This window comes from Homo sapiens, chromosome 10 (assembly GCF_000001405.40).
Source record: "Homo sapiens chromosome 10, GRCh38.p14 Primary Assembly".
NCBI lineage: Eukaryota > Metazoa > Chordata > Mammalia > Primates > Hominidae > Homo > Homo sapiens.
In genome coordinates, this window is record NC_000010.11 from 92807481 (window position 1) to 92833189 (window position 25709).

Sequence of the window (25709 nt, forward strand, 5' to 3'; positions counted from 1 at the left end):
GTTGGCCAGGAGGGTCTCAATCTCATGACCTCGTGATCCACCTGCCTTGGGCTCCCAAAGTACTGGGATTACAGGCTTGAGCCACTGCGCATGGCCTGCAGTGCCATTCTTTATATAGAGGTGCAGGATAGTTAGTCTGAGTGTCAGTTTACTCATTTTCAAAATGAGGACACTAACACCTACCTCCCAGGAGTATTGGAAAGGATACATAAAAGAATATATGTTAATAATCAACCCCAAGTGTCCATCAACTAGTAAGTGGGTAAATAGAATGTTATGCATCCATATGATGGAATACTATTTGGCAATAAAAAGGGGTGAATTCTGCTACATGCTACAACATGGATGAACCTTAAAAACATTATGCTAAATGAAAGAAGCCAGACACAAAGAAAGCCATATTGTGTTCTATTTTTGTGTGAAATGTCCAGAACAGGCAAATCTGTAGAAACAGAAAGATTAGTGGTTGACTAGAGTTACTGGTCAGGGTGGAATGGTAATGTTGGGAAGGGAATAGGGAGTGATTGCTAAAGGGAATGGAGGTTCTTTTTGGGGTGACGAGAGTATTCTAAATTGATTGTACTGTTGGTTGCACAACTCTGTGGATATAGTAAAAAGCATTGACTTGTATACTTTTACTTTATTTATTTATTTTTTTTGAGATAGAGTGTCGCTCTGTTGCCCAGGCTGGAGTGCGATGGCGTGATCTCGGCTCACTGCAAGCTCCACCTCCCAGATTCATGCCATTCTCCTGCCTCAGCCTCCCAAGTAGCTGGGACTACAGGTGCACACCACCATGCCTGGCTAATTTTTGTATTTTTAGTAGAGACGGGGTTTCACCACATTGGCCAGGCTGGTCTCAACTCCTGACCTCAGGTGATCTGCCCACCTCGGCCTCCCAAAGTGCTGGGATTACAGGCTTGAGCCACTGCGCCCGGCTGACTTGTATATTTTAACTGAGTGAATTGTTTGGTATATAAATTATATCTCAATAAAAATGTGTTAGAAAAAGAATGTATGTCAAATGCTTAGTTCTCACTGTTCTCCCTCAGTTCTCATTACTTTCTCCTCCTTGCCTCGTTTGTCACCAGCCACTGATTGTGGACATTTGCTCCTACTTGCAAGTGCCCTGGCTTTCCCTGAGCTTAATTAAGTGTAGAGATTTTATTTCTTCTTGTTAAACACTTAGTGGACTTGCCTTGTCTCCTTCTGAGGTGCTTGAGGGTTTGGGGGAGGTCTACCTGCTGCTCCTTATTGCTTGACCTTGGTCTTTGCCTGGGCTGTTCTGAACGTGCCCTCCTTCACTGAATCTGTCAAATAATCTTCCTCATCTACCTTTCAGACCTTCCTCAGCTCTTCATCAACAACCACTTGTTAGGTAACAACCCTAAATGAAGCCCCCTAAGCCTCCTGGGTGATACGAGGAGGTTAAACACTCAAGCCCTAGTCCAAAGAGTTCTTTGATTGTGGTTGGAGAAATAGCACATAGATACAAAAACACAACTAAGATGGGTCACAAATCTGTTAAGTGTCAAGTGTGCAATTCTCACTTGGGTGCTATGAGAGTTTAAAGATGTGAGAGATCATTGGTCAAGGAAGTCTTCAAAAAGCATTTCGGGCCAGGCGTGTTGGATCACGTCTGTAATCCCAACACTTTGGGAGGTCAAGGTGGGTGGATCACTTGAGGTCAGGAGTTTGAGACCAGTCTGGCCAACATGGTGAAACCCTGTCTCTGCTAAAAATACAAAAATTAGCCAGGCGTGGTCGCGTGCACCTGCAGTCCCAGCTGCTTGGGAGGCTGAGGCTGGAAAATCGCTTGAACCTGGGAGGCAGAGCTTGCAGTGAGCCAAGATTGCGCCACCATACTTCAGGCTGGGCAAGAGCGAGACTCTGTCTCAAAAACAAAAACAAAAACAAACAAACAAACAAACAAAATTTTGTTCTTGGGAATGCGTAAGCTTTATATTGAAAGAGGATGGAAGGCAGGCGCAGTGGCTCATGCCTGTAATCCCAGCACTTTGGGAGGCCGAGATAGGCAGATCATCTGAGGTCAGGAGTTTAAGACCAACCTGGCCAACATGGTGAAACCCCGTTGCTACTAAAAATACAAAAATTAGCCAGGCTTGGTGATGTGTGCCTGTAATTCCAGCTACTCGGGAGGCTGAGGCAGGAGAATCACTTGAACCCAGGAGGCAGAGGTTGCAGTGAGCCGATATTGCGCCACTGCACTCCAGCCTGGGTAACAAGAGTGAAACTCCATCTTGAAAAAAAAAAAAAAAAGAAAGAGGATGGAGTGTGTGAGCAAAAGCACAGATGTGGCTCTTCCTCTTCCTGCTCTATACACTTATTAGTACATATTATATGCTAGACTCTGGGGATATTTTAAAAAAAGAGCAAGATTGAGTCCTGCCCTCTAGGAGCTTACAGATGTAGTGAAGCTAGACACACAAAGAAATTACAAGAAGTCCATGCATATAGTGGAGCAAGTGAGTGAGTTATATGAGGGAGCTTATAAGACGTCACAGAAGAGGTGATCTTTGGACTTTCGGGGTGAAAAGCAGTTTCACATCAGGAAGTGGGAAAGCAGGGTACAGTGAAGGCAAAGGCACAGGCATGGAGGTGCATGCTGTGGAGCCGGGGCAGGTGTTCAAAGATGAGTAGAGCAGAGCTGGGAGCTGAGGCTGTGGAAAAGTGTTGGGGTTTCATTGTAAAGATTTTGTTTTGTGTGTGTTAAACAATATATGTTTTATACTGAGGCAATCAAAGGTGTTGGGGGCACACTTTCCACTTCTTTCAGGCAGAACTGTCTAAACCTCATTCTTTCTTTCTGCTTTCTCTTAAACCCCAGACCCCTTTCAATGCTTCCTGAAGCAAGGCTTTTTCTTGCCCGGATTAAACTCTGAATGCTGTCAGAGTCATCTCCTGAAGCTGTGCCATGCAGGTCCCCAAGAAAACCACACTCCTTGACCCTCTTCTGTCTAGCACATGCCTTACTGTGGGGTGGGGAGGGAAGCTTGAAGAGCAACTCCCTTGCAGAAGTCACTAAATTCAGAATCAAAATAATGTTGAGCTCATGGATTTTGCCTCTGGTCAAACACAACACATCTATTGCCTGCCTTTCCAAATTTTATTTTGGCTATAGCATTTTAAAATGCAGGCCCAAACTACCCCCCAAATAAGTCCTTATCATGGTCCCAGCATAAATTAGTACACTATCCATAGATTTATTTTCTTTCTAGGTACTGAAAGATTTAAGACATCCTTCCCCTCAAAACATAAATCCCTTTGTAGATCATTGAAGGATTTGTAGAAATGCATATAGCACATTCAAATGTACTTAAGAAGCATTTTTGAAAAGAATACCACATAGATTATTTCTACAATCTACAAGCAAAATGAGATTATAGCTTACAAACAAAAAAAAGGGCAAGTTTGTTGACTGAATTCATACTCATTTATCACACTCTCCTGTATGCATTAATATCTTTAACTGGCCAGTCAATCATAAAAAATTAAATTCTCAGTAAATCTTATCGGTACTACAAAAATAATGGGATTTCTGTTTACAAGGTGTCGATTGTGTTCAGAGTGTTTGATAATGACTGCAGACAGTCAATAAACACTGAGACATTTACATGGCCAGTAGGAGCCTAACTAAACTATCTAATCTTTCAAAAGACAGTCAACACAATGAACTCTAAACCTAATCCCCTCAAATACTGGAGAGACAGTTTAGTGCTTTAAATACTACTCAACTCCAAACCCCACACTAAAAGGAACCATTAAAGGTTTTTCTTAAACTCACAGAAGCGGAACATTTTGATTTCAGTTCCATTCTCTAGTGGCAAATCTTTACCTTACCTAAGTTCAACAATGTATAGGACCCGGGATTTGTGAAGGGTAACTAGTATTAGAAGTATTGACTAAAAGTGAAAGAGGAGTACTATCTGACACTTAAAAATTCAAAAATGGCTTTTAAAAAAATTTCAAGAAATTAAAGCACATTACTTGCTGGTTTTGTTCATTATAATCAAGTAAACTCAAGTTCAAAACTTTTGGATAGTTGGGGCTATATTTATTGCTGGGAGATTTTTTTAAGAAGCTGAAAAAAAAAAAGACTATTGATTGACCATTTCTTCTCTCTTAGGGCTGTATACTCAATGAAGAGAATGGTTTAAAAATTCTAAAATCCAGATAAGAGACTTTTGCATAAGGGAAGCTGAAAATGCCTGTCATGAATTTAGATACTAAATAAACTTGGGGCTTTTCAGTGGCATAGAGAGAAAGAAGGAGAATTTCAGCATGACTTTTGCAAATGTGTTTTTGACTCTGATATTTTTGTAATGTCAGTCAATAATATGAAGATGCTCGGGATGGTATTTACTAGTTAATGGCTAGAGAAACTGGGCCCTGACTACACACCCAGAAGGAATGTCTTTCCTGGGAGATTTGATTCAGGGCTACTTCATTCCTTTCTTATACACCTCCAAGGTGTTGGGTTCTTCCCTTTTCCTGTTTAAAGAGCCTGGCCAGAGAGGTTCTGATTTCTCTCTCTATTCCACACCCAAGGCAAGAGTGGGAATCAGGAAAGGGAAAGGGCAGCCCTGGTACATGTGCAGCAGCTTTAATGAACCGCTTCAGAAACAGATGTGGTCTTGCCCTGAAAGGCAGTTAACACAATAGACTGCTGGAGATCTGATGTTCAGTTCTCTTCAGGCTATAGAAATGGGAGATTCTTTGGTTGACCTGGCACAGAGCCCTCCTTTGTCACTGGAATATCTCCTTTGCCATTTGCAGAAAATGGCAGGAAGTGTATAAAAATCTGGAATCCTGGAACAGGATTTAATCCTGCCATGTTAGGAGGCCACTCTGTCTGTCTCAGGTCAGTGTTGGAGAGGACTGGAAGAAGGCTGATTGATTTTATTTTTGTGGGTGAACTTACACTGGCAAGCCCCTATGTTATAGACATCTTCGGACATCATTAAGGCTTAGATTTGAGAATTCCAGGACTTTTTATTTGTTGTTGTTAGTGGGCTCACACACACTCTGTGAACTCCAATAATCCTTCTGCTCTATTAGAACCTAAAACCCATTGATCTTCTTATATGTTTTCTGTCAATAACTTTTTCCATGTTACTTCCCTCCTTGCCCAGCTCAAATGTGTGGTCAAATGTTTTCATCACTCACCTGAATATACCTTCAACTTCCTTGCCCACCTCTCACTTTGTTGAACTATCTTGGCTAAACTACCATCTTTGTTAAATTCAACTTTTCCCTACTCCATCTCACAGTTGAACAAAAGGACACAGGTAAGCTGACCTCATTTTACATTCTTTTTTTTGTTTTGTTTTTTTTGAGACAGAATCTCGCTCTGTCGCCCAGGCTGGAGTGCGGTAGTGCGATCTTGGCTCACTGAAGCCTCCCCTTCCTGGGCTCAAGCAATTCTTCTGCCTCACTGCAGCCTCCCCTTCCTGGGCTCAAGCAATTCTTCTGCCTCAGCCTCCTGAGTGGCTAGGATTACAGGGGCGTACCACCACGCCCAGCTAATTTTTGTATTTTTAGTAGAGATGGAGTTTCACCATGTTGGCCAGGCTGGTCCGAAACTCCTGACCTCAAGTGATCTGCCCGCCTAAACCTCTCAAAGTGCTGGGATTACAGGCATGAGCCACAGTGCCCAGCCTCATTTTATATTCTTGATCACTCATCTCTGGTGGACCCTTAGCGATCATACTATGTTTTCCTAGCCCATTCATTCATTCATTTACTCTATTGGAAGAGGACTCTTTCATACCTTTTGTTCTTTTTGTTTTTTTTGAGACGGAGTATCGTTTTCTCGCCCAGGCTGGAGTGCAGTGGCACGATCTCGGCTCACTGCAACCTCTGCCTTCTGGGTTCAAGCAATTCTCCTGTCTCAGCCTCCCAAGTAGCTGGGACTACAGGCACACACCACCATGCCCAGCTAATTCCTTTTGTTCTTTTCTCAAAAATTCAACCACTCTTTTCCATCTTCATTGTCATGATAACCTTGCTTCCTATACACTGAGAAAACGGAAGTGAGCAGAAGAAAACTTCCATAAGGTCCCACAACAACATCTACCCACCTACCGAAATCTGGGCTTATAGACTCTTCCTTCTCTTCTGTTTCCGTGGAAGAACTCTCCATGCTCTTTTTAAAGACCATCACTTCCACTTACACACTAGAACCCTACCCCCTTCCCTCCCTTGCCTACAAAGTCAAGGACAGTGCTGCAGGCAATCCTCCCTTCACTCCCCTGCATTGTCACTTTCTGCCTTTTTTCCCAGTACCATATAAGCATCTCTCATCATAAAAAAAAATCTCATCTCTTGGTCCCACTTTCCCTTCTAGCTTACTACACACCCCAACCCCCATTTCTCTCTTTCCTTTTATAGCAAAATTCCGCAAAATAGTTGTATCTACTTGTTATCTCCAATTCTCCTCTTATTTCTTCTCCTTTTACCCCCACCACCCACTGAAATTACTCTTAAAAGGCAAACGTAGCAAATGTAGTGGTCTTATTTGACCTATCAGCAGCATTTAAAACAGTGACTCCCTGCTCATAAAGACTTCTTCCACATGGCTTCCACCACACTCCTGGTTTTCCTTCCACCTCACTGCTTCTCATCTTCTTGTCGGGTTCTTTCAGTTTTCCTGGGCTGTCTGTGCCCTAAATGAGAACATGCATTCCTGTTCTCCCGCTTAGCCAGCTTATGGTTAACACTGCCTGCTGGTTAACACTTAGCCATCCACAACAGTGGAGTGCCCCAGGGCTTATTGTTTGGAGCTCTTCCGTTTTTCATCTGCACATACTACTTTAATGATTTCATTCAGTCTCAGGGATTTAAATACTATCTATGTATTGCTTGCTTCTAAATGTATATATCTCCAGTTTGTACCACCTCCTTGTGCTCCAGACTCTATGTCCACCTTCCAACTCAACGTCTCCATTTGAATGTCTAATAAACATCTGAGCCTCTGATCTCCTTCCACTCCCATTCTGAACCTGCTCCTCCCACCGTGTTCTCTTTTTCTCAGTAAGTGAACAACTCTATTCTTCCAGCTGCTTAAACAATAACAAAAAAATTTGGTGTCACCCTGGATTTCTCTTTCTCTCAGACCTCGCATTCTAATCCATTAGCAAATCCTGTTGGCTCTACCTTCAAAACATATTCAGAATCTGACCACCTTTCCCCATGTCCATCACTACCACCCTGGTCCAAATCCCCTTCTAGCTGGTCTCCCTGATCTGGCTACCTCTGATAAATAGCAGACATGAGATTCAGACCCAATTATTCTTCTATTTTGAAGACTTTGATCTTTTATGTGGGCTTTTCTGTCCCTCTGCTTCATCTTTTATGGTTGCAATTGTGGATACCTCCCCTATATCCATTCCCCCATTCTTTCTTCTTTAGACCAGATAAAGACTATCTTTCCCAACATCATGTGCAGGTAGGTTTGGCCATGTGACTAAGCCCTGACCAATGAGATAAAAGCAGAAGTAGCCGGATTGAACTTCCCGGAAAACCCTTATGTAAGGGGGACACACAGCTGGTCCACATCCTTTTTGTCCTTCCCCAGCCTCCTTCCTGCTGCCTGGACTGGGGGCTTGGTGGCTGGATCTGCAGCAGTGTTTTTGTATCCTGAGATGACCTTGAGAATGGAAGTCACTTGCTAAAGCTAGAAAGCAGAAAAGTAGAAGCAGTCTGGGTGTCTGATGACTTTGTGGAGCTACCATACCAGGTTTAGACTGCCCTAGTCCTTATCTGGACTCTTTTGCATGAGAAACTTAATAATATAATTTGCATTAAATATAAGGTATGGCTTACAAAATAACGAGACTGAGTCCATAGGTTTTCACCAAAGGTAAGCTCCATTACTTTAAGACTCTAAATAAAGGTTAAAGCAGTTACTACTCTCAATTCCTTCCACTGAAACATCATCTTAAGACAAATTTCTGTATAATACAAACTTTGGATCTTTATGAATATTTAAACATTACAAACTCTTCCAAAAGAAAAGGAGAATAATGGGATTGTCCACTGTGTCAGAATTTGACTAATATGATGTTGATGCCTTATAAATGACTTCAAAAAATGTATGGTCCTGATCTTTCCTGTTATTGAGATAAAGTTTTAAACCTCCAAATCACAAACCTGCCTCCAAGGATATAAATTGCAAGCCTAGTTAAGCAGAGAGAGAAACAGTTGAGTCTTATTTACCAGTATGGAAAGCTGGTTGGGAGGTGGTTTGTACTGTGTTGGGTCCCTCTTGAGATTTAGGCCATGGATCTGGTCATAATTCATCTTTAAGATGAATTCTGATTGATGGAAAGAACATATTCCTTCAAGTGTTGTCTCTTTCACTTACTAGACAAGTCATTTAACCTCTGAGAGTCTTAGTATTTTTAAAAAATTGATAGAATGGAAATAATACCAAAACCAGCTATTCCATAGGGCTGTTGAAATAAAATGAGGGCATATATGCAAAAGTACCTAGTTCATAGTAGTCACTCAATAAATATTTGTTCATTCATCTTGATAATATGTTGCATTTCATAAATGCTTTAGAATTTTTGAAATGCTTTCACATACTGTACAAGTTATTGTCAAAATACCAAGCACTGATCAACACTTCCTCTAGGGGCTTTTGGATGTATTTTAATTGTTTTAGGATGTGACCAACTTTGTGGAGCCGAGTTAGTTGGCTTCATTATTCCCCTGCAACATTTCCTTTGCACTCATTGATTTCCATGGCTACATGATGATTACTTCCTGAGAAACAAAGGAACACATGTGTTTGGAAGTCAAAAGGAAGCATACAGATCACCTATTGAACCATAACCCTGTAAAATGTGGTATAAATGGAAACTTTTCTTTTTATCATAGTGTGTTTGAAATGAAGGAATTCACATTAGTCATTCTCTCAGTTTCTACTCTACAATAGCTGTCCTTGTAAGGGGCCAGATTGTGTCAGGCCTTATAAACCAAATTAACTCCAAAAATTTTGTAAGATAAACTATTTACAACATCAAAATTTCTGAGTGGTGACCAATCCAGAAAAGTGACAGTAGGCAATGGGAAATTTGAAGACAAAGAATGGGTGGAGGAAGAAATAAATCACCACTCAAGCATACTGGTTCCATTTTACTACCTTATGAGTTATTGACTACTTTATTAATTATTTACTACATTGATTAATTATTCCAGCAAACATTTATTGAAAACTTTTCTGTAGGAGGTCCTGTACTAAGTGCTCTGAGAACTACAGAAGTGAATAACACCCAAAAGTGGTCTTCAAAGAATTCAGTTTAATATTGGAAATAAAGCATATATGTCCTATCCAAATTATGTCCTATGAGATGTACCATTCAGGACCTAGAGTGGTTTTGAAGAGGGGGCTGTCTGTGTTGAATCTTGAAGAACATATAGAAATCTGTTTACCAGGTAGACAGACGGAAGTGCATTCCAGATGAAAGGAACAGCATCTACAAATGCCCAGAGGTACCCAGGTCAGAGCTAATGAAGAAGAGCTAGGTAGAGATTGACCTGGAGAGAAAGAGCAGGTTGGGAATACCTGTGTGGGGATATTATCATTATTAGTAGGTGGGTGTTTGATGCATGGAAATTGACTTACAGTGGGAGGAGAGGGAAGTTAATGAGTTCAATTTTGGACATGATGATGGGATAGGATATTCTGGTGGAGATGTAATGTAGGTGTTAAAAATGAAGTTTGGCGCTTAGGGGAGAAGTGCAGTTGGAGATCTAGATTTGAGACTCATCAACACACAAGTGGAAGATGAACACACAGGACCCTAAAGTAAGAGGAAGGGAGAGTTGAGGACAGAATCATGGGAAACAACTACATTTAGAAGACAAACAGATGAAAAGGAACTTGGAAAGGAGGCTGAGAATGAGAAGCCGGGGGATATGAATAAAGACCACAAGAAAATAGCAGCTTCCCCCTTTATCCATGGTACAGTCCTTCTTTAGTGATGATTGGGGAATGTTGAAGCAGAATAGGAAACACTAAAGGAGTGTTTAATCCAGTCCTTTTTATTTGCATTACTTTCCTAGGAGTCAAGGCTCATTTTTCTTCGCCCCATGAATAAGCTCCAGGAGCCTGGGCAGACCAAATAGGCGGTTATTCCTGGGTTGCATGCCGGATGGAAAGTTCTAGGAGTCAGGTCAAAAGGGATGGTCCTGGATTGTGAAGCACCAATGAGCCAGGGAGGCCTATCACATAGTGGTTCTGAGCTCTAGAGTTAGGCAGATCTGTGTTCAGATCCTGACTCTAAGGTCCAGAGATGGATTCTTGCAGTAGGTGTGCAAGCCACCCTGGGTATAGGGTGCACATTCTCAGTCCAAGACCTCACGCCCCCGACAAGTTAATTTGGAATAAAAAAGAAATTTCTCCACTGACCTGTTGGCTTCTCAAAGGCTTGGCACATGGAAGGTCCTTAAATCTATAGTCTTTGTAAAATGATGAATGAGCACATAACAAACTTAAGAACAGTACATTGGAAATAACTTTATAATAAACAGGTGAACATTGTGGTCACCTAGCATTTTCATGGGCAACTTATCTTTTGGAAACTGATCATTGAACATCAGAGAAATATCCACATGTGTCCATTTGAAAAGATGTAGAGGAACAATCCTTTTCACCAGACCAAAAAATAGAAATCAGTTAATTAAAATAATTATCTTCAGTGGTACATAATAACTTTCCTCATTATGGCATAATACTAACGCTTCTATAGGGTTAATTACTTTCCTGGCACTATTCTGAAGACCTTATTTTCATTACTTAATTTAATCTCCCAACAAACTTATGAGACAGGAGCTTGTCTATTACGTAGAGAAGAAAACTCCGGGTATAGAAAAGTACCCAAGGCCACATCACTAATAAATAGCAGAGGTAGGATTTGAACCCAAGCAGTCTGACTCTAGAGTCTTTGAATATAACTGCTACACTACACAGAAGCCTCCCTTGATTCTGAGACCTGACCACATAGCTGGACCCATTTTGTTCATCACCTGGTATGGAAGGAAAGCTACATTGTGATGTGAAATGAGGCTTTCTCATCACGGCTTCTATGGGGGCAGGTGGGGTTGGGGCAGGTTATGGGTAATGTATTTGTGTTAAATTAGACAAGAAGCATGATAATCATTTATATGAACAGAAGTCATAATCACATGATGTTCTGATTTGACAATTTACCTCTCCCAGTCTCATAGGCAGGTGGCTTCAGCCCCTTGTCACAAGTTCTCATTCATAAACTAAAAGAGAGGCTCAGCACCTCTGGACAGGGCCAAAAAGCATGTACATTTTAGAAGTCTCCAGGGAGCATACTGACCCTGTCTGTCCTCGATGGCCCTGCTAGAGTGTTTTCTGAAGGGCCCTTGTATCTTCTAGTTGGTCTCCAGGGGCCCACACTGATTGTCCCTTATCTGAGAAGTAACTGAGAGAAATCTCAAAAGGAGTTGGGGAGAAGAGGCTCCAAGGCATAAAGTGGAAACATAGCCCCAGTCTTGAAGAGAATTTGAATCCAAAATGATTACAGGCATAACTTGGAGACATTGCAGGTTTGCTTCTAGACCATTGCAACAAAGCTAATATCACAATTAAATGAGTCACACAATTTTTTTTTGTTTCTCAGTGCATATAAAAATTATGTTTACACTAGGCTCTAGTCTGTTAAGTGTGCAATAGCATTATGTCTAAAAAACCCAATGTACATATCTTAATTAAAAAATACTTCATTGCAGAGCCGGGCGCAATGGCTCATGCCTGTAATCCTAGCACTTTGAGAGGCCAAAGCAGGTGGGTCGCTTGAGCTCAGGAGTTTGAGACCAGCCTGGGCAACATGGTGAAACCCTGCCTCTACAAAAAATACAAAATTAGCCAGGAGTGGTGGTGCATGCCTGTAGTCCCAACTACTCAGGAGGCAGAGGTGGGAGGATCACCTGAGCCTGCAATGTCGTGGCTGCAGTAAGCTCTGATTGCACTCCAGCCTGGGCTACAAAATGATGAGAACTTGTCTCACAAAAAAAATAAACAACTTTATTGCTAAAAAGTGCTAACAATCACCTGAGTCTTCAGTGAGTCATCATCTTTTTGCTGGTGGAGGGTCTTGCCTTGATGTGGATGGCTGCTGACTGATCAGGGTGGTGGTTGCTAAAGTTGAGGTGGCTATGGCAATTTCTTGAAATAAGACAACAATGAAGTTTGCCACATCAATTTACTCTTCCTTTCATGAAAGATTTCTCTGTAGCAAGTAATGCTGTTTGTTAGCATTTTATCCACATTAGAACGTCTTTCAAAATTGGCATCCATCCTCTCAAACCCTGCTACTGCTTTATCAACTAAGTTTATGCAACATTCCAAATCCTTTGTTGTCATTTCAGTGATGTTCGCAGCATCTTCACTAGGGGTTAAAAAAAATTGTGTGACTCATTTAATTGTGTCACTTGCACTTTTATGCTATGAAGACAACTTCTTACCTTAAACCTCATGAACCAACCTCTACTAACTTCTAACCTTTCTTCTGCAGCTTCCTCACCCTTCTCAGCCTTCATAGAATTGAAGAGAGTTAGGGCCTTGTTTTGGATTAGGGTTTGGTTTTAAGGGAATGTTGTGGCTGGTTTGATCTTCTATTCAGAGCACTAAAGCTTTTTCCATGGTAGCCATAGGGCTGTCTCTTTATCACTCATGGGTTCCCTGGAACTTTTCCTTTGCGTTCACAACTTGGCTGTTTGGTACAAGAGGCTTAGCTTTCAGCCTCTCTTGGCTTTTGACATGCCTTCCTCATTAAGCTTAATCATTTCTAGCTTTTGAGTTAAAATGAGAGATGTCTGACTCTTCCTCTCACTTGAACACTTACAGGCAGACCATTGTAGGATTACTAATTGGCCTAATTTCAATATCATGTGTCTCAGGGAATAAGGAGACTCACGGAGAGGAAGAGAGATGGGGAACTCAACTGGTAGTTGGAGCAGTCAGAACATGCACAACATTTACTGATTAAGTTTGATGCAGTTCGTGATGCCACAAAACAATCACAATAGTAACATCAAAGATCATCGATTACAGATAACCACAGAAAATATAATAATAATGAAAAAGTTTGAAATATTGCAAGATTTACCAAAATGTTACACAGAGATGCTAAGTGAGCACATGATGTTGAAAAAATGTGCCAATAGACTTGCTTGACACAGGGTTGCCATAACCTTCAATTTATTTTAAAAAATGCAATGTATATGAAGTGCAATAAAGCAAAGTATGCCTGTTTGTTAGGCCATTCTTGTGTTGCTCTAAAGAAATACATGAGGCTGGGCGCGGCGGCTCATGCCTGTAATCCCAGCACTTTGGGAGGCCGAGGCAGGCGAATCATGAGGTCTGGAGTTCAAGACCAGCCTGGCCAACATGGTGAAACCCTGTCTCTACTAAAAATACAAAAAATTAGCTGGGCGTGGTGGCAGGTGCCTGTAATCCCAGCTACTTGGGAGGCTAAGGGAGAATTGTTTGAACCTGGGAGGTGGAGATTGCAGTGAGCCGAGATCGCCTCACTGCACTCCAGCCCGGGTGACAGTGTGAGACTCTGCCTTAAAAAAAAAGAAAGAAAGAAATACCTGAAAGCTGGGCATGGTGATTCACGCCTTAATTCGAACAGTTTGAGAGGCTGAGACAGGCAGATCACTTGAGGTCAGGAGTTTGAGACCAGCCTGGCCAATATGGCAAAACCCCATCTCTACTAAAAATACAAAAATTAGCTGGGCATGGTGGCAGGTGCCTGTAATTCCAGCTATTTGGGAGGCCGAGGCACAAGAATTGCCTGAACCTGAAAGGTGGAGTTGCAGTGAGCTGAGATCATGCCATTGTACTCCAGCCTGGGTGGCAGAGTGAGACTCTGTCTCAAAACAAAAAACAAAAAACAAAAAAAATACCCAAGGCTGGGTAATGTATAAAGTAAAGAGGTTGAATTGGCTCATGGTTTTGCAGGCTGTACAGGAAGCATGGCAGCATGGCGGGGCTTCTGCTCAGCTTGTTGGGAGGCCTCAGGATGCTTACAATCAGAAGGTGAAGGGAAGAAGGCATCTCACATGGTGGCAGCAGGAGCAAGTCCAGGAGGTGCCACACTCTTTTAAAAAACCAGATCTCATCAGAACTTACTTACTATGGTGAGGACAGCACCAGGCTATGAGAGATCTGTCCCCATGACCCAAACACCTCCCACCAGGCCCCAGCTTGAACACTGGGGATTATATTTCCACCCGAGATTTGGGTGGGGACAAATATCCAAACTGTATCAGCCTGTATTTACCATCCCTCCAAAACCTGTTATTGCACATATATTTAAAAATAAAGTTCAGGACAAAATATTTCCTGAGATTATACTCAGTTAATGAAGACAATTAGGTTTGCAATTAGCTAACTCTTAGTTAAATATATTTAACATCACTTATAGAAGAAAAGAACCCCAAACACATACAAATAAATCAGATTAGGCTTTGTCTTTTGATTAATGTTTTTTTCACCGAACAGGAAAATACTCATTAACAAAAGTTTCGAGAACAATAAAGCAACTGGAGGTTATTAATATGAAAATATTGTCGATTGTTCCTCCGTAGAAATCTCCCTGGACAGCCCACTTCCTGAAAAATGACTCAGCAAAAACTCCCAGAGAAGAGTTGTTCATACTTCATACAATTGTTCAGGCCAGAGCTTATTTCTTATCTATAAAGTCCCCTTGTGATGGATGATTCATGATTCTTTTCATTTATGGGCTTTGAATGCAAACTATTTCTTAATGTAAACAAATGGCTTCAGTATTTAAAGCAAAATATTTCCGTTTGTTTAGTACTATTTCCTATTTTATGCCTGAAACTGTGTTTTTGAAGGAATTGTTTGGTTTCAAAAGAGGGAAAGGGAATGATTGTTTAGAAGAATGTGTGCAAAGGGGCGTGCCTTTGTCATGGGCAGCCTTTGAGATCTGCCTGGAGTCAGAGGGGGCGTGTGGTAGCATGGCCCAAAGAAGCTGGTGTCATGAATTCTGCCTGTAAAAGTTCCAGTTTCCTGTGGGAGAAAAGGGTATCTGACAGGTCTTGAAGTATGCCTTTAAATTCTCTATTCGTTGAAGAGATGCAAACTAGGTGAATGGAAGAGAAATGACACATAGAACAGTTGCTAAAGATACTAGAGAGAAGAGAGCAAGATCTTTAGTGATTTCTTTTCTCTTTTCTTTTCTTTTTTCTTTTTTTTTTGAGACAGAGTTTCACTCTCATTGCCCAGGCTAGAGTACAGTGGCGCGATCTCAGCTCATTGCAACCTCCGGCTCTGGGGTTCAGGCGATTCTCCTGCCTCAGCCTCCCAAGTAACTGGGACTACAGGCGCCCGCCACCATGCCCAGCTAATTTTTTGTATTTTCAGTGAAGACGGGTTTCACCATGTTGGCCAGGATGGTCTCTACCTCTTGACCTCGTGATCTGCCCACCTCGGCCTCCCAGAGTGCTGGAATTATAGGCTTGAGCCACCGTGCCTGGCCGATCTTTAGTGATTTCTAATGACATTTTACAATTGTCAGTATAAAAAAATAGAATGAAAACGTGCAAGAGCATGAGACAGTTTCAATGACGTATGTGCCAAAAATTGACCACTAGGTAGCACCATAATCTAGCTCTACGACTCTAGCACTGTGTTGATTCTGTATTGGCCAGGATGCAAACGTTTTAAGATTTATGTCTGAGAAAAGACCAACAAAAGCAGCTGTAAATTATTCAATCAGAAGACCCTAACGTAACAAACTGAAGAGGTATAAGGTTTACCAAGTATTTATTTGGTGAAGTTTCTACTATAGCAATTATTTTTATTCAGAACCCAGAGAAACGAAGATGGAAGAGATTTTGAGCCTTCTCTTAAAAAAACACCTAGATTTGCATGAAGATAAAGAAAAAGAGGCCGGGCGCGGTGGCTCACGCCTGTAATCCCAGCACTTTGGGAGGCCGAGGCGGGTGGATCATGAGGTCAGGAGATCGAGACCATCCTGGCTAACAAGGTGAAACCCCGTCTCTACTAAAAATACAAAAAATTAGCCGGGCGCGGTGGCGGGCGCCTGTAGTCCCAGCTACTCGGGAGGCTGAGGCAGGAGAATGGCGTGAACCCGGGAAGCGGAGCTTGCAGTGAGCCGAGATTGCGCCACTGCAGTCCGCAGTCCGGCCTGGGCGACAGAGCGAGACTCCGTCTCAAAAAAAAAAAAAAAAAAAAAAAAAGAAAAAGAAAAAGAATAATTATAGTTAATTAAAACAATTAGTCTAGAATTTCCTTGTCAAATTAGAAAAACACCAGTTTAATGAAGTAGTAAACATTCCTCATACTTGTTTTGAGTAGAACAGTTGCTAAAGATACTAGAGAGAAGACGGCAAGATCTTTAGTGATTTCTTTTCTCTTTTCTTCTTTTTTTTTTGAGACGGAGTTCCGCTCTTGTTGCCTAGGCTAGAGTACTCATACTTGTTTTGATTCATCAGTGTCTTTATCATTCCTACTTAAGTCTTCCATTCACTTGGAAGTACTTCCATTCAGTACATGCCCACTACATACCTAACATCATCTAGATGCCTTGAATCTAAAGAAGCATGAGGCACATGCCTTGCCTTTGCATAGCACATGGCCCAGCAAGGTGGACAAATATATAACAAAACAACAGTATTAAGGGATAAGAACTTCAGTAAAGACATGTTCAAAAGATTTATGGGAGATAGCAGCAAATTACAAAATAAGTGGCATTTGAACAAAGTCTTGTAAGATAATGGTAATAACTGACACTTATTGATGCTCATTATGTGTCAAACCCTCTCCTAAATACTTTACCTAACAAATGCTTAGAAGTCGTGTAATCATCACAACCACCATTTGAGGAAGGTGACACTATTATTATCCCCCTGTTAGAGACAGGAAAACTAGTTTGGGAAATGCATTCTAGATAAAGGAAGTAACACGTATAAAGGCTCAGAAATGTACAAAACCATGGCATGTTCCAAGGAGCAGGTGGATTAGACCAGTAGTAACATTCTAATATTCATAGAAATACCATGACCTCTAGGATTTTATAAACAGAAAAATGAGGTAAGTCGTATCAGAGATTTTGAATAGATTTTTTAAAACTTTTTTAATTTAAAAATTTAATTTTTAATTTATTTTAAAAAAGTTTTTTTGTAGAGATGGGGTCTAGCTATGTTGCCCAGGCCAGTCTCAAACTCCTGGCCTCAAGCGATCCTTCTGACTGGCCCCACAAAGTGCTGAGATTACAGGCATGAGCCACTGTGCCCAGCCAACTATTTTCCTATTACTTAGAAATTTTATTATTTAAGGAATAGTAGGAATATAATTTACTGAGAAATCACAGATCCGTTGAAAGATCAAACCATTTTTGTTATGAAATATTATATCCTGAATTTTTAAAAGATGATATGGAAAATATATAATGGCTCTGTAGAATCACAATTTTTAATGCCACAGATTTTTCTTAAAATGCTAACTTTCTAGCCGGGTGTGGTGGCTCATGTGTCTAATCCCAGCAATTTGGGAGGCTGAAGAGGGCGGATCACCTGAGGTCAGGAGTTCAAGACCAGCCTGGCCAACATGGAGAAACCCCATCTCTACTACAAATTAAAAAATTAGCTGGGTGTGGTGGTGGGTGCCTGTAATTCCAGCTACTCCAGAACCTGAGGCAGGAGAATTGCTTGAACCCAGGAGGCCGAGGTTGTAATAAGCTGAGGTCGTGCCACTGCACTCCAGTCTGGGCGACAAGAACGAAACTGTCTCAAAACACAAAACACAAAACTAACTTTTTAATAACAAACTGTTTTATTGTAACTCTGCTGAAAATAACAATGCTATAGTTTTAGAACTTAACTGAATATCTTGAAAGATTTCCTAATGTTGAAATACTACTACTGATACAATGAAAACAACTTTTAACTATTTTATTTTAGATAGCATTTGCAAGACAAACTCTGTGATATCATAATTAAATATTTATTGGTTGCTCTTTACTTACAAACCACTCTGTTCCTGTGTCCAGATTATTTGTTAGGCAAATATTTATCGAACACCTATGTTGTGCCAGCCATGGTGTTAGCTTCTGTAGGAGCAAAACAACAATAAGGGCCCAACTCTCTGCTTACCTATCTGTCTCCACCCTTTTCTCAGGCAAGCAGCCCCATGCTCACCACCCTGGCCATACTTTCACTTCCCTGGCCATGTCCTCTCTCCACATTAGCGGTCCCTGTTCCCACCAACTTCTTTGCATAGGACTTGCCTATGAGTTTTTTCACCACCCTGGAATATCCAAATGGTATCCACTTTCCAGTTCACAGTTCCAATGACCCCTCCTCTGGATACTCTTCTTCTCTTCTAAGCCCCTCTGTTTTTAAAAAATCATGGTAACCATTTTTCAGCGTACAGATCAGTAGTGTTAAGGATATTCACATTGTCATGCAACAGATCTCCAGAACGTATTCATCTTGCAAAACTGAAACTCTATATCCATTAAACAACTCCCCATCTCCCCTGTACCCTCACCCCGGCAACCAGCATTCCACTTTCTGTTTCTATGAATTTGACTATTTTAGATACCTCGTATAAGTGGAATGATACAGTATTTTCTTTTTGTGACTACCTTATTTCACTTAGCATAATGTCCTCAAGGTACTTCCATGTTGTAGCACGTGACAGGATTTCCTTTCTTTTTGAGGCTGAATCGCATTCCATTGCATGTTTATACCACATTTTGCTGATGCATTCATCCATTGGTGAGTGCTTGGGTTGCTTTTCCTGGCATTTTTTTATCCCTTCTTCTTTTCTAGCACTCGTCTTTTGCCTTCATGTATTAAAACTATTTTTTTCCTTTCTTATCTGTGTGTTTCTTCATTTTTTAAAATCCATCCATCCATCCATCCATCCGTCCGTCCGTCCATCCGTCTGTCTGTCCGTCCGTCTGTCCATCCATCCATCTGTCCATCCAGCAAATATTTATTGAGTGTCTCCTATTTCCAGGCACAGTTCTAGGCACTGGAGATGTATCAGTGAACAAAACAGAAAAAAATTCCCTGTGCTCATTAATCTGCATTCTTATAGAAGAGACAGATAATAAACAAGTGAAGTGTACAGTGTGTCCAAAGACAGAAAGTACTATGGGACAGAAACAAAGCAGAGGGAGTGAGGTGGGGATAGAGAGTCCCAGCTCAAGGTTAAAATGCTGGATTTTATTTTTAGCAAAGCCATCATTGAGAAGGTGATTTTTGAAGGAGTGAGCCAAGTGAATATCAAAGGCAAAAGCATTTCAGAAAGAGGGGAGAGCAGGAGCATAAACCCTGAGGTGGAGCATGCCTGGTAAAGTGTGAGGAACACTGAGGTCAGTGCAACTGAAGTGGAATGAAACACAGGTAAGGAGCAAGAGATGACATCAGGGCAGTCTAGGGCAGAGGGAGAGGCAGAACATGGAGTGCTTGTAGATCATTTTAAAAGCAGGATATGTGTCTGATTCATAACGATATTATTTGAAAGAATATTATTTGAATGAATGAATAACAGTTTCCTATGAATGCGCTCCATGTAAACCATGTCTATAGGACTAATGTGCCTATGGTGCATTCCATGGCCCACACAGTATTTTTTTTTAAATATTAAACTTGGCTGTGCGTGGTGGCTGGCACCTGTAATCCCTCACTTTGGGAGGCTGAGGTGGGCAGATCGCTTGAGCTCAGGAGTTCAAGACCAGCCTGGGCAACATGGAGGAATCCCATCTCTACAAAAAGTACAAAAACTAGCCAGGCATGGTGGCATATTCCTGTGGTTTCAGCTACTCAGGAGGCTAAGGTGGGAGGATGGCTTGAGCCCAGGAGGCGGAGGTTGCAGTGAGACGAGATGGCACCACTGCACTGCAGCCTGGGCGACAGAGTGAGGCCCTGTTGCCAAAAAAAAAAAAAAAAAAAAAAAAAAAAAAAATCCCCATGTTGAGTATAATGGAGAGGAAGTGCAAAATACCTGTGTACACCCTGGGCAGCATTTCTGTCTTTCAGCTTACACTATCAGATTTGTATAAGGTAGCATGTTGGAGGGGACAGGTGAGTGATATCTTGTGGCAAAGAAAAAGCTGCTGCTATCTGTGGCATCACCTCTGACCCTTAAAGCCAGAAGATCCCCTCACAGACCAGATGATTCCAGAAAAGCAAGTTGCAAGAGCTAAAGGTCATTCTAGGCTCAGGGGTTCCCACACCTTTGTTGCTCCTGATTTTCTTGGACTTTTGCTCATCTTACAGGCCCCCAATTCAACGCTGACCTCTGGCTCCACTGGGTTTGGGAACTCTCATTCTGCCTTTCTGAAATCTTGGACCTTAACATTCCTTAATGTTTTGTGACTCTGTTGGCACTTTCAGCTATGGCCCATTAGCTCCCCAAATCCTAGTCAGTAGCATATAACATTCCTAGATATTTGACGTATTTTGCTGCTTTTGTATATGGTATCGATTTTGTATTTCATTTCCTACCTGTTGCTAGTATACAGATGAGCATTTTTTGGTCTAGAGTGCTTGCTAGATTCACTCATTAACTCTGTTTGTTGATCTCTCTAGATTTTCTACATATACAATCATGTATTCCGCAAATATCAATTTTTCTTCTTTCTTACCAATCTTTACGTCTTTTATTTCCCTATCTTGACTTATTACACTGGCTAGATTTCCAGGACAATTTTGAATAGAGCTAGTGATTGTTGTTTTCCTGAGATGAGGTGGTCAATGTTTGGCATTTAGTCAGCAAACAAGATATTAGTGTTTTCTTTGTTTGCTTGTTTTAATGAGTCTTGCTCTGTCACCCAGGCTGGAATGCAGTGGTGCGATCTTGGCTCACTGCAACCTCGGCCTCCCGGGCTCAAGTGATTCTCCTGCCTCAGCCTCCCAAGTAGCTGAGACTACAGATGTGTGCCACCACACCTGGCTAATTTTTGTATTTTTAGTAGAGACAGGGTTTCACTATGTTGGCCAGGCTGGCCTCAAATTCCTGACCTCAGGTGATCTGCCAGCCTCAGCCTCCCAGGGTGCTAGGATTACAGGTGTGAGCCACTGTGCCCCGCCAGTTTTTTTTTTTTTTTTAATAGACTTCTATTTCTAGGTTGCTGAGTTTTGTGTGTCTGTGTGTGTGTGTGTGTGTGTGTGTGTGTGTGTGTGTGTATTTTTTTTTTTTTTGTGGACCCTTCAAAATGCACAAGAAGTAGTGGGTTAAGGATAGGAGGGAAAACTCCAACTCCGCCAAGACTGAGCAGGATTAAACACCAGGTGATATTTGCCAGGGGTGGGCCACTTTCATCTGGTATTCTTCTACTGATAGAGGAGTTAAGAAGAAATTATTTCGGCAGATAGAGTAAGGAAGTCCTCCGTAAACTTTTCCTTTTAATGAAAAGCAGCCTCCAAATCATTTTCTTTTCTAACAAAGAGGAGCCTGTAAAATCGAGTTACAGATGTAGAAAGGCAGGCTAGAAGCTTGCGCGGGTAGAATGCTGGCAGCTGTGCCAATAGGGAAAGGCCACCTGGGACTAAGCATGTTCAAAATGACTGCTCCATCTTCCCTTTTCCTTTCCAACCACATGTGCCATAGGGAGCAGACAACATGGGGCTGGCCAAGTGGTAAGCCCATTTGCATGATAAGATTAGGGTAGGGTGGCCAGCTTCTTCATGCACTATGTAAACGTCACAACTGGTCCAGCCAATCTGTGCGCCCTATGCAAATCAGACACCACCTCCTCAAGCCTGTCTATAAAATCCGATGCACTCCCCACAGGCTGGAAGTCCCATTCGGGCGCCCCTCTCTCTCTCAGGAGAGGAAGCTGTTCTCCTTTCTCTTTCTTTTGCCTATTAAGCCTCTGCTCTTAACCTCACTCCATACGTGTCCATGTCCTTGATTTCCTTGGCATGAGGCAATGAACCTCGGACAACAACGCCAGACAACAACACCACTTCACTACCTTCTGGGGCACCCCTGCCTTGTCCCCAGTTTCCCAGATATGTTTCCTAGAGACTGTGAATTGTAGAGGGGGCACCTGTGCCAATGAAACACATGAACATGTCAGAAGCATTTGAATCAGAGTGACTCCATCTTGAATAAGGGCTGGGTAAAATGAGGCTGATACCTACTGGGCTGCATTCCCAGGAGGTTAGGCATTCTGTCACAGGATGAGATAGGAAATTGGCACAAGATACAGGTCACAAAGACCTTGCTGATAAAACAGACTGTGGTGAAGAAGCCAGCCAAATCCCACCGAAACCAAGAAGGTGATGAGAGTGACTTCTGATCATCCTCACTGCTCATTATAATGCATTAGCATGCTAAAAGACACTCCCACCAGCACCATGACAATTTACAAATGCCATGGCAATGTCAGAAAGTTACCCTATATGGTCTAAAAAGGGGAGGAACCCTCAATTCTGGGAATCACCCACCCCTTTCCCAGAAATCTCATGAATAATCCACCCCTTGTTTAGCAAATAATCAAGAAGTAACAATAAGTATAAGCAGCTGAGCACCCATGCCACTGCTCTGCCTATGGAGTAGCCATTCTTTATTCCTTTATTTGCTTTATAAATTTTCTTTCACTTTATGGATTTGCCTCAAATTTCTTCTTGTGCGAGATCCAAGAACCCTCTCTTGGGACCCCTTTCTCGTAACAAACATAATGCTTCCTACTAGTGTTTCCAGTACAGAGCAAGGAGCCTGGGAATCTAGTCCTGGTGATGGAGTGAGAAAGGTGAGCGACTGATGCAGTTTTATTTGAAGAATAAACTTACTTAAAAAAAGGTTAATTTCCAGTTCTAGAGGGACAGGGGTTCCTAGCAGACTAATGGGACAGTGACTCAGTTATAGAGAAAAAAGAAAAAGGCCCAGAAAAGGGCCCCAAGGAACAGGACTATATCAACTTCACACACAGCCTGATGGTGTGTCCCAAAGATCAGCTTGGGGCAGGATTTCTCAGCCTGGGCACTACTGGCATTTCAGGCTGGATAATTCATGTGTATGTGTGTTGCGGGTCAGGTGGGGGTTTGTGCTGTGCATTGTAGGTTGTTTAGCAGTATCCCTGGCCCATTCTCACTAGATATCAGTAGCACCACCCACCTCCCACGGTGACAATCAAATATGTCTCCCGACATTTCCCTCGAGCAGGGGACCCACAAGATCACCCAGTTGAGAACCACTAGCCTAGGGTCACTTAAACTTCTCTTGTCAGTGGTCAGACTTAATCCTAGGAAGTAGTCAAAGAGTTTGAGCTGCAGGTGGGAGGAGAGGTTAAGGGTCCAGACTGGGAACATTCCAGTCACACACGCCATTCTTTTTTATGGGCATCTTGGAATATGGCTGTTTCAAAACTTTCCACTTCCTCCTTTTCTTTTCCTCATTTGATGAATTTGTTGTTAGCACTATGAGACAGGGGAGATTGTTTTCTCTGTTACTTTTGGGAGGAGAGCCTCTCCTGTTCATTTAATCTGTGCGAACTTCCGGCAGGAAATGGCACTCAAGGAAAGTTTTGAATAAAAGGAAGATGCTGGTTTAGCCAGTGGAAACAGGAAGTTGTTGCCCGTGTCTCCTACGGTGTAGAAGAAAGTAAGAGGCAGACAGAAACTGCACTTAGCAGGACTGAGAGGAGCAGAAGACAGTGGGGTGGGAGTAGAGGGAGGGTGGGGAGAGCTGAGGAGCAGAGGGAAGCAACTGGGCCACCAGGACAGAAGACCTTGAATCTCCAGGCTGAGCCGGCTGTACCGGAAGAGGATGAATGTGCTGTGTAGGAGGAGCGGGGTCATGCAGTGACAGTAAGTCAAAGCAATAGTGGTTTGTTAATTAAACTACTTTAGAGTATAGTATTCTTCTATACTATATTCTATTTTTTTTTTATTTTTATTTTTCGAGTTGGAGTCTCACTCTGTCACTCAGGCTGGAGTACAATGGCGTGATCTCGGCTCACTGCAACCTCCACCTGCCGGGTTCAAGCAATTCTCCTGCCTCAGCCTCCCGAATAGCTGGGACTACAGGTGCGTGCCACCATGCCTGGCTAATTTTTTGTATTTTTAGTAGAGATGGGGTTTCACCATGCCAGCCAGGTTGGTCTTCAACTCCTGACCTCAGGTGATCCGCCTGCCTCGGCCTCCCAAAGTGCTGGGACTACAGGTGTGACCCACCGCGCCCAGCCTATTCTATTTAAATTAATATATTTTCTCTCCAATATTAGGAGCATATGCCTACATTCTAAAATCTCCTTGAATAAAGAGAGAGAGAAAGAGAGTAAATGTGGCAAAATATTAACAGTTGGTGAATCAGATGAAGGGTATATTTTTGTTCACATTATATTCTTCCTGTAATTCTTCTATAAGTTTGAAAATTTTCAAAATTAAAATTTGTGCTGTGTGGAGAGAAGAATGAATTTTTAAAACCATGTGATATTTAGAACTGGATCAGTCATCACAGATGTATGTGTTCATGAATATGTGGCATTATTTATGAATTTTCTTCTCTTCAATGTAATATAGTGATGCTGATGGCTCTTTTAAGAGTGATTTCTCATCATGTATTTATGTATTTTCAGGTTCTGACAAACACAATCTAGAATTGTCAGATTTTTGCATAATTTGCACCATTTCCTTACAAGGCAGAGGTAACTCAGCTAGTAGCTTTCACAATCATTCATTCATTGGATAAGCATTTCTTGAGTATCTACTATAACTGTATACAAGGTGTATACTCTTTTTTTTTGAGACGGAGTTTTGCTCTTGTCACCCAGGCAGGAATGCAGTGGTGCAATCTCGACTCACTGCAACCTCCGCCTCCCGGGTTCAAGCGATTCGCCTGCCTCAGGCTCTGGAGTAGCTGGAATTACAGGCGTCCGCCACCACAGCCGGCTAATTTTTTAATTTTTAGTAGAGATGGTGTTTCACCATGTTGGCCAGGCCTGTCATGAACTTCCGACCTCAGGTGATCCACCCACCTCAGCCTCCCAAAGTGCTGGGATTACAGGTGTGAGCCACAGCACCCGGCCTACAAGGTGTACACTCTTAAGCATTATGGGGAATACAGATATGAATCAGATAGACATTCTGCACACATATAATCTTATAATTTGGTATAAGTTTAAAACCTTGCACATAAAGAACTTTTTTTTTTTTTTGGCTGGAGTTCAGTGGCCCGATCTTGGCTCACTGCAACCTCTACCTCCCGGGCTCAAGTGATTCTTGGGCCTCAGCTTCCCAAGTAGCTGGGACTACAGGCATATGCCACCAAGCCCAGCTAATTTTTGTATTTTTAGTAGAGACAGGGTCTCGCCCTGTTGGCCAGGCTAGTCTCGAACTCCTGGCCTCAAGTGATCCACCCGCCTCGGATTCCCAAAGTGGTGGGATTACGGGTGTGAGCCACTGTGCCAAGAACTTTAAGATAGATTGAAAATTATTATTTTTTGTCAAGTCTCAAAGGACTTACTCATCTTATTGGGAAATGGTGTGAGCCATATTGGTGCTGCATTTGTTCCATCCTGCCATGGAGCAAAACTAGGGCTGAGGGTTGGGGGCTATTGGTGGGGTTGAAGTGAAGAATGCTGCATTGGTTTGCCATTGCTGTATAACCCATCAGTCTGTGGCTGAAAACAACAGTCATT

At 42.1% G+C, this 25709-nt stretch overlaps 1 protein-coding gene across 5 annotated transcripts in view, besides 1 other annotated feature; it reads left to right on the top strand.

The window, feature by feature from the left end:
- Window positions 14632-14926: an enhancer, noted in NCBI's record as "tiled region #4238; K562 Activating DNase matched - State 5:Enh". NCBI's record gives its function as "activates a minimal TATA promoter and a strong SV40 promoter by Sharpr-MPRA in K562 cells {active_cell/tissue: K562}" and the evidence as "EXISTENCE:reporter gene assay evidence [ECO:0000049][PMID:27701403]".
- EXOC6 (exocyst complex component 6) overlaps window positions 19351-25709 on the top strand; it is a 232660-nt gene continuing 226301 nt past the window's right edge. For 4 of the 5 annotated variants that reach the window (NM_001319194.2, XM_017016344.3, XM_047425369.1 and 1 more), the window contains exon 1: window positions 23628-23877. In NM_001319194.2, coding sequence (NP_001306123.1) covers window positions 23841-23877 — 37 coding nt within the window. In that variant the 5' untranslated portion in view covers window positions 23628-23840. Of the gene's footprint in view, window positions 19465-23627; window positions 23878-25709 lie in introns of those variants that run through there. The other variant, NM_001013848.4, reaches the window with a different exon arrangement.